General features: G+C 39.9%; 1 annotated feature.

Moving 5' to 3' along the window:
- Window positions 9124-9324: a silencer, noted in NCBI's record as "peak4836 fragment used in MPRA reporter construct". NCBI's record gives its function as "represses an SCP1 promoter by STARR-seq MPRAs in K562 erythroleukemia cells {active_cell/tissue: K562}" and the evidence as "EXISTENCE:reporter gene assay evidence [ECO:0000049][PMID:32103011]".

Here is a 9909-nt window from a genome sequence, read left to right as displayed (position 1 = left end):
AAAAGAGTGAGAGAGACACAGATTATGGTTTAAGGTAGGGTTTGCAATACAAATGCTTATGGAGTGAAGCAGGCGAAGCAAAAAAGTGAAGCAGGCTAGGATAAGACAATACGTAGAAGCTGGAAGTGGTGGCTCACGCCCATAATCCCAGCACTTTGGGAGGCTGAGGTGGGCGGATCACCTGAGGTCAGGAGTTCGAGACCAGCCTGGCCAACGTGGTGAAACCCCGTCTCTACTAAAAATACAAAAATTAGCCCAATGTGGTGGCACATGCCTGTAATCCCAGCTACTGGGGAGGCTGAGGCAGGAGAATTGCGTGAACCCGGGAGGCAGAGGTTGCAGTGAGCTGAGATCACGCTACTGCGCTCCAGCATGGGCGACAGGAGCAAAATTTCATCTTAAAAAAAAAAAAAGAAAAGAAAATAGGACAATACAAAGAAGCAGGAACTGTGTTGTTAGTGAGTTTCAGCTTGTTGCTACAACGTAAGAATGCAAAATCTCTCATATCTCATGATTTTTTCAGAAATCTAGAAACCTGGACTTTTTATGGGAATTTATCCAGTTTTTTTGTTTGTTTGTTTGTTTTTTAAGTCTTTGGGCCAACCGAAACACATCTGCAAATCAGATACAGCCCTTGGCTAAAAGGGTCAATTCCCCATCCTAAAATCTCCCAAACTCCTCCTTAGAACTGCATCACGTGATCATTGCTGAGTACAAGGGAAACCAAGAAGTATAGTTTTTTTGTTTTTGTTTTTGTTTTTTTGTGGAGAGAGTACCTTGTTGGTATTAATAAAATCTGGATTCTATTACTAAGCAAAAAAGGAAGTCACGCATCCTAAGGAGGGAAGATGCCCCATGCTTTGGAACACTAGACCTAAGAGATTCCACAAATATCTAACTTTTCAGCAATCTCCTTTCTCTCTGCCCTTGAAAGATCCTTGGAGGTCTCTGGATCAATATATTGGCCTGAGTATAATGTGACTTATACTGTTAATTATATAACCATAATGAATTGAAGGACTGTAGTCACTGTGCCAAATGTGGCCATTTTCAATATAGTGCAGGTCTATATTAAGCAAACACGTGAAAGAAAATATAGCTAAAAATTCCAGGTACACAAATTAAAACTTGAATTACTACTTTTTCTAGGACTTTCATGATATGACAGATGTACTTTTCCTGTCATTGCCCTAGTCTCAAGACAAGCAAATGTTTGAGAAGTCATTAGATTTAAATTACTTTGGGAAATATCATTGAAGTCAAAAGCTATACGGAACAAGTACACATTTCTCATTTTCATGTCAATGACTGTCTTATTTGAAGAGTCAATTGTATTCATTTTAAAACCCAGAAAAAGAAGGCAATAATCTACCAGTAATGATGCAATGGTCATGGGTGGAGATTGATTAAGCCTTCAGGACTTCCTTATTATTTACCTGATTTCACATTTGCTGGACTTCACCTTAAACAACGTAGGTGTGATGCATCTGAGACACTAGGCAGAGTACTAGTTTCAGGTGTTCTGTAGTCTCAAGAGATCTGAATTCACTATTAATTTCACCTAGAATTCATTTTCTTCAAATTTTATGATAATCAAGGATGTACTTAACCACCTTTTCCATTCACCGGGAAGAAAAGGAAACTATTTGTTTCCGTATTTGCATTTGATTCATTTCAAGTTTTTTTTTTATTTGCTTTTTCATTTTGTGGGGTTGACTTTTTGGGAGGGTACCAATGATGAAGTACTCTTGATTCAACATCTCTAGTCATTAAGATGTTCTAGAACTAATGATGTCTGAGGAGTCTGACAATAGCAACACAAATTAACATTTGAACATTAAATCCTCAGTGCTGGAGTTGCTTACTCTGGGTCACGCCAACCAACTCTCATGCGCCTTCATCTATTCATTGAAGAGGGCTTCCAGCCTTGGTAGAGCCAATATCTGTGTTTCAATCTAGCCAAGTCTTACTGTACTTCATCATTACCCTTTCAGTGAGAAATGTCAAGGACCTGCCCTTTCTTGCAGCTTTAGGGAATGGTTTTTCTGTATCTTCATATTCCAAAGCAGGAATCAGATGGGAATTAGTATTTTCCTTGTCAACCTAAAAGTTTCACTTATATCACATTTGCCCTCAGCAACCCATGTTAAGTCTTGTGAATCAATCCTTAATTCAGACTTTTAAACTCACAGTTCATGATATAAAATACCCCTCTGTATTATACAGACATTGCTTTGGACTAGATATATGAGAAATCCAGCTCTGTAGCTTATCTAAAATTTATTTTAATCTTCTCATGTAGCAAGAAATCAGGAGGTAGGCTGGTATAGTGGCTGTGCAAGGTTGTCGTTGCAAGTCAAGTTTCCCTAGAAAGCAGACTTTGTCATGGAAACTGCATGTATGAAGTTTACTGGGGAGATCACCTGGGATCAACAACCTGTAGGGTAAGGGCAGGCAGCAGGATTGTATAAGAGGAAGAATTTGGGCTGTGGTATGGTCACAAGACCTCAGTGAAACCTGCAGGGAGCTGTGAAGCTTGTCCTTCAGAATCTTTCAGTGTTGGACCAAGGTGGCAGGCATCTATACTCTTCATCAACTAGTCACTGGATGTGGGCTGCCTGCCAGGAAGGGGCATGACCTGGAGTAGGGTGTCTGTCTTCAGCTGAGGGCAATTCTCAGAGAGGGCTCATAGCAGAGGGACACCAGCTATCAACAGACCCAGTGGTGGAGATTAGTGGTGGGTTCCTGAAGAAGGATCAGGCAGCATAGCACAGTGCCCAGCACAGCTGTCCATGTCTCAGACTCCTTCTGCCTTCCTGATCTGCATTATTAGCATGTGGCTTTCATGCTAATGGATGATTCATGATCTCAAGATCACTTCCACCCCCAGCCTTATTTCTGCACTCTAGACAGGAACAAGAAGGAGCGCCTGTATCAGGAAAGCAACTGTTACCCAGAAATGTTCAGCAATCTTCTACTTATGTCTCATTGGCCAGAGATTGTCAGATGGCTGCTCTAGCTGCAAGAGATGATGGGAAATGTGTATTTCAGCCAGAAACATTGCTGCCTTGACCAAAATCAGCATTTAGAATTTTTAAAGAAAAAGAAGAAATGTGTATGGCATTAGCAACTAGCAGTTCTCCCAAACCATCTGATTTTCAAAAAGAGTTAACTCTCTTTGGCAAGGAGTTAGTGGCTCTATAAACCTCAAGGATTTTTTTTCTATTTTGTTTTCAGGAGTCACTTTAACTTAAATTTTGTATTAGTTGTACTACTACCTCCTCTGCAGTCACTGGTGTTCAGACTTCATTTTCTAATAGTCATGTTTATCTCAAAATAATAATTTTTAAACTTCTGAGTGACTTCTCTCCTTTGCCCTTTCTCTCTCACATCCATGTACATATACAGACACACAGGATTTCACTATTTCTGTGATGTTGAAAATCAGTGATGATAAATAATTATTATTAGATCTTCATCTGTGCTGGATCAAACTAAGATACATCTAGAGATAAAGGAGAAGAAAGACCTTTGTCAAAAGGATCACAAAGAGAACAGAAGTATAACAAGTCAAAGGTGGGGAATCCTGCTAAAGTAGAATTGGCTGGGAGTACAGTTGCCAGATTTAGCTAATCAAAATGCAGGATGCCCAGTTAAATTTGAATTTCATCTACTTTTATTTTGTTCTGGGCCAGGGTCTCACTCTGTCACTTAGGCTGGAAGGCAGTGGCGTGATCATGGCTCAGTGCAGCCTCAACTCATTAGGCTTATGCGATTCTCCCACCTCAGCCTTCCCAGTAGCTGGGACTACAGGTATGCACCACGACACCTCGCTAATTTTCAAATTTTTGTAGACATGGGATCTTGCTGTGTTTGCCCAGGCTGTACTTGAACTCCTGGGCCCAAGCGATTGTCCCATCTTGGCCTCCCAAAGTGCTGAGATTATAGGCATGAGCCACCATGCCAGCCCTAAATTTGAGTTTTAGACAAATAACAAATAATGCCAATATATCCCAAATATACTTCTACAAATTGCATAGGACATAATGATACTAAAATTTACTTGTTGTTCATCTGAATTTCAAATTTCTCTGGGTATCCTTTATTTTTTCTGGCCACCCTAACCAGAAGGAATAATGTTCACACTGTCACAGGGTTATATACTGCCATTGTGCCCATTTCTATAGCTATTAACATCAACCACTGCCTTGGAACTTTTCCACCAACCTCTAGTCTGAGAACGGCTGTCCAATATTTCTGGAAACTAATTAATTGATTCAGCTAAAGCTAAATAATTTCTTACAACAAATTACATTTTTAATATTTACTGGAGCACAGATTCTCCTAGGGTACATGGATAGGTTTCATGTACCTTAATGGGTCTCTGAATCCACCAAGATTGTGTAGAAAACTGTGTGTATGGACATTTTTCAGGAGAGGAAGGTCATAGCTCTCATCACTTTCTTTTTTTTTTTTTGAGACAGAGTCTCACTCTGTCACCCAGGCTGGAGTGCAGTGGTGTGATCTCGGCTCACCACAACCTCCACCTCCTGGGTTCAAGCCATTATCCTGCCTCAGCCTCCTGAGTAGCTGGGATTACAGGCATGTGCCACTATGCCCAGCTAATTTTTTATTTTTAGTAAAGATGGGGTTTTTCCGTGTTGGTCAGGCTGGTCTCGAACTCCCGACCTCAGGTGATCCACCTGCCTCGGCCTCCCAAAGTGCTGGGATTACAGGCTTGAGCCACCACGCCTGGCCTCATCCCATTCTAAAAGGAGTAATGACTCAAAAAGCTGTTCATTCCCAGGCATAGGGCAGCTTGTTAACTTATCTTGGTTATTTTATATGGGGACAGAAGTAGAAATATCAGTCATAGAACAAATGCTTTAGAATTCTTCTTTTAGGGAAATTTGGAGCAAATATGAGAATAAACTCTTTTCTTTGACAGTCCAAAGTCAATTGTAGAGTTAGGCATTAGTCAGAAGTATTATTAAGCAATACCTCTTAATCTTAGAAATCACTCACACTGTTTGCTTAGCACCTATGTGAGTGAAGTTTCTCTTCTTTAACTATTGAGCTGTTTCAAAGGAGGGAGACCACCATACTCCCTCTCTCACCCACAGTTTTTGGAGGGGCAGATTGAGAGGTTTGTCTACACTCAAGACCTGTAGTCCTGGCCTTGTCACTATTTTTCTTAAGTGTCTCGTTCATTCATGGAGCTTGACGGTGAGAACCTCCAATTAGAATTCTTTGCTTTTCATTTGGGATTCTGTTCTCTTATAGGAGATACTACAAAATAGCAAGCATAGAAACAGTCTCATGAGCTAACGTAAGAAAGTGGAATTCTTTTTTGTGCTCCCTTCTGTTCCCAGTGCAAAGGAATGGTCTAACCCTTGAAGCATCATGCTCTCCTAACAACAGTTTTCTGAATTCATGTGCTTATAAATGATGCACTCATTGTACCATGGCAAATTTTCAGGAAAGCTTCCAGCCACATGTGCAGGTTTCTCCAATAGTCTCTGGCATACCACCATTAACTACATCTCAGAGTGAGTTATGCCCAGTAGACCATGAGCATTTTGAAGGAATCACATCTTATTTGACTTTTTTACTTCCAGATCTAATTTATTGCCTAGAATACAATAGAGAGTCATAAATGTTTGTTGAATGATTGAAAGGATGGATGAATGAATAAATTAATGAACAAATAAAAGTTGCATAAGACCACAAGGAGCAGGCTTAAGATAGCTTGGTCAGTGGCTAATATCAACATTTCCTCTTCTGTATGCACACCTCTCCTTCGAGAACTCAGAATGTAGAATTATACATTCCTCTCCAGCCTCTAGAAAGGAGGAAACCGATTTAGAATTTTTATTCTACTCCAGAGGGATTTTATCTTTTATTTTGAATATTCTGTTGAATTGATCTGGGAAAGAGAAAACAGATTCCAAGATTCTAGATTCGTCTTTAAATGTAGCCTATCAGGCTCATAAACAAGAACTCAGGGGCAGAGAAGTCTTCTGGAAGGAATTGTTTTCTAAGCTGAGACTTCCCAGATGAACAAGGATTAGTTAAGCAAATGGAGTAATGAGTGTTGAGGCAATGAGAGAAACACGTGTTCTGAATAGAGAAACCATACCTGAATGCCATAGTCCAAGGGTGGGAAGTTCCTGGGCACATTTGAGACAAATCAGACAAGGTTTATAAACTAATTCAAGAAGTGCCACCCTTGAGCATGGGCAAGTTCCTACATCCTCCCTGCTGGGCCCATGCCTCAGGGGAACCTGTGCTTCGGAGAGCCTTCCTCAAAATTTCCTAAGTTTCCCTCCAATGTTTCAGACCATTTGGCTATGGCAGTGCCATTTGGGCAGGGCACCCAGAGCTCAGACTGGGATTTGCATGGAACCTCTATTTCTCTCCCCAGAGTACTCTCTAATCTACCTCATATGTGGGGTTGAGCAGATGACCCAAGGAGCTCTGGGACTCATACTATGGGGTTTTCTTAGGGCTGCAGGACGAGGCCTTGTTCCTAGAATGGTAGTCTGGCACGCAGATTGCTCCTGCTGGCAGATGCAGTATTTTTTGCATATAATCTCATGAGATTGGGCCACTGGAATGATGTTGACATGCTGGTTTGGGGTGGCTCAAACTGTTTCTATAGACAGAGGCCCCACCAAAAATATTTTCCCAGCCACTCTATGGGTGGCTTTGTTAAGGAATTTGGACTTTGTCTCAAGAGTAAGAGAAAAAAATCAAACTACATTACCCCCAAATCCATTTTGTCTAAATCTTTTTCATTAAATTTTTTATTTTGGTAAAATGTAAATAACATAAAATTTACCATTTTAGCCATTTCTATACAGTTCAATGGCATCAATATCTTTAATGCAACCATTAAATCTCTCATTTGGTATGGTAAGAAACGAAAGCCCAGAGAGGCCAACTGACTAATCAAGGTCACACACGTTACTAGCGGAAGAGCTCTGCATTGTGCAGTCAGTGCTGTTTCCACCTTTCCAGTTCATTCATTTAATGGTTGAGTAAACTGAATCCCTGAAAGGCAAAGTGACCTCGACCAAGCCAAGAGCAGGACTAGGAAGATCTCTTGACCTCAGGCCAGTGCTCTACTTTCCCCATCTCACTACTCCAGGCTGCCCTGACCTCCCTCCTGCATCGTCTGCCTTCCCTAGTTCTTTCTACCAGAAATTCTGAGCTTTCTTGCACCAAAATGTGAGTTTCACACAGCCAATTAGCACCTAAAAATGATTTTCTAAATCAGTACTTGGGGAGTGTCAAATCCATTGGTTGCAATATGTCTTCACACCAAACTTCAGTAATTTGTCAGTTATGGGTGAAAAAAACTACGTGCCGCCATTTCCCATCACTACTAAAGTTCTTCATGCAGAATTTTTGGCTGTAAATCAAGTTTAAGGAATCCATAGAGTAATTTAGATTATTTCCAATGCATTATATACATTGGGATTAGTTTGCTTAAATATATGACCATTTAAGAGTGTCTGGCACATAGTAAGTGATCAATAAATATTTGTTGACTAAATAAAATGTAGGTATTATTCATTGAATTGAATTTTTCCATTTAAAAAAACTGAGGTATAATTTACATGCAGTACAATTCACCCTTTTAGGTGTACAGTTCTGAAAGTTTTGACAATGTTTATGATCATGTCACCACTACCACAACCAAGATATAGAATAATTCTTTCATCCCCAAAATTACTCTGTGCCCCATTGTAGTCAAACTCCTTCCCTACCTTCAGCCCCTGGCAACCATTGATCTCTTTTCTGTCCGTATAAGTTTGCCTTTTTGAGTATGTTATATAAATGAGTTCATACAGTATGCAGCCTTTTGAGCCTGGTTTTTTTCACTCAGCGTTATGTTTTTGGGGTGCTTCTATGTTGATGCATGCATTAGTAGTTCATTACTATATTCCACTGTATGCAGCAAGTCTGCAAATAACATTGTTTCATTATAACATTGATGAAAATAAAAATATTGATTCCTCCACTACCTGTGTGGAGTTTGCATTTTCTCCCCATGTCTGTGTAGGTTTCCTCTGGGTACTCCACTTTCCTCCCACTTCCCAAAGCTGTCCATCTTAGGTTCGTTGACATACCTAAATCGTCCCAGTCCAAGTGAGGCTGGGAGCATGTGTGAGTGTGCCCTGCAAAGGAATGACATCCTGTCCAGGGCTGGTTCCCATCTTTCACCCTGTGCTGCTGTAATAGGCTCTAGCCATCCATGACTCGAACTGGAATGAGCCAGTAAAGGATGATCTTATTTGCTTTTATTAATTTCTCTTTTTTTCTTTTTTCTTTTTTTTTGTTTTGACAGAGTCTCGCTCTGTCGCCCAGGCTGGAGTGCAGTGGCATGATCTTGGCTCACTGCAAGCTCCAAGTCCCGGGTTCATGCCATTCTCCTGCCTCAGCCTCCCTAATTTTTCTTAATGTATTATAGTTCACAATTATTTCAATGCCTAATATTGGAAGTGTTTTGGTCCTTATTCAAAAGTTTGATGATGTTTTTGTGACCAGAAATATACTGTAGGAGCTTCACTCTTGTTTATATCAATTAGCATATGGTAAAATTGGTTTTCGTTATGTGTCATTTTTCTGAAAGTTGCAGTTTCCGACAACCCGTTGTACCATAGCTTTTGCCTGTTTCCCGGTTGAAAGGTATTTGGGCTGTTTCCAGATTTTATTATGCGTTGGATTTTAACTTCAGTGTTTCTTTGTTTAAAGGCCTGTCAGCATCTAAGACTGCAGGAAGAAAGTGTCTTCAAAATCCCTATTAATTGTATGATCTGTGTTAGAAATGACAGAATATTAGAGTTAAGGCAAAGTGTAAGTCTAACTTCCTGCCAGCAAAGCAAGAGGTAAAATGTGAAGCATGAACGTAGATCCTGAGTGTTGGATGGTGTTGGATGGATTAGAACCTGGGTCTGGACCCTCATCCTGGCTCTGCTTTGGAATCTTGGTGGGTGGGTGTTTGACCTTTTCCTGGCTAATGTGTATCTTGAGAATATTTTGTCCACATGCTGGGACAAACATACCATGTTATGAGACCTGTTCCCTTTTCCCAATATTTTTTGCAGCTACAGCAGTCACTTGCCCATGACCTCACTAGTCAAATACAGTACAGGAGACTGATTTTTATGAGAACAAGAGAGATCCATTTTCTGGGAAGTGAGGGTGTCTAGCTTAAGATAACAGCAAGAGGAGGAAGTCTGGCACCACAGCTTAGCATTGCCAATCCAGTTTATGATGTCTGTGATCAGCAGCAACGTTAGCTGAAAAGGGATCATTTGCTGTAGCTAAGAACACTATTATCTCAGCAGAAAGGGCCAGAAATTGAGCCTTCTGATGTTGTTTTCTTATCTGATTATTCTTCTCTGGTTATTTTTATCTGTAAAATAGATCATAAAATAAATCAAAATTCTTGACATTTTTATGGGTAACTCTGGGTATTTTTCCCTGTATCAGATGTAGTGGTCTCATTTGAGGATCTACCAAAGAAATTACACTCAGGTTTCATGAATTGTTTGGCTTTCCCTACAAATGCATTTTTATCTTACAGATATAATGAATTACATATGTGATGGTGTTTCCTTATGTTATTGGCTGCTAGAGAAATCAGAGCCAAATTTGTGGCCCATCTTCAGCAGTTTCATAGACTTTCAGACATTCCTTTTGTATTTCAAATTTACTACACTTTCATCTTATTTTTTGACTTTTTAAAAATCTTTATTCCCAGTTCCCTCACTTTAAAAAGTTTATATTATAAAGAAAAAATGGAACATTATCTTACTACCCAGATAACTCCAGGATATGTATAATTAAAACTCTACAGAAAGGTACAAAAGAAAAATAAGAGTTTCTCAACTCTTCTAA

The sequence above is a fragment of the Homo sapiens genome, chromosome 3 (assembly GCF_000001405.40).
Source record: "Homo sapiens chromosome 3, GRCh38.p14 Primary Assembly".
NCBI lineage: Eukaryota > Metazoa > Chordata > Mammalia > Primates > Hominidae > Homo > Homo sapiens.
Note: the sequence above shows the minus strand (reverse complement) of the source record. Positions and strands in the feature narration are given on the sequence as shown.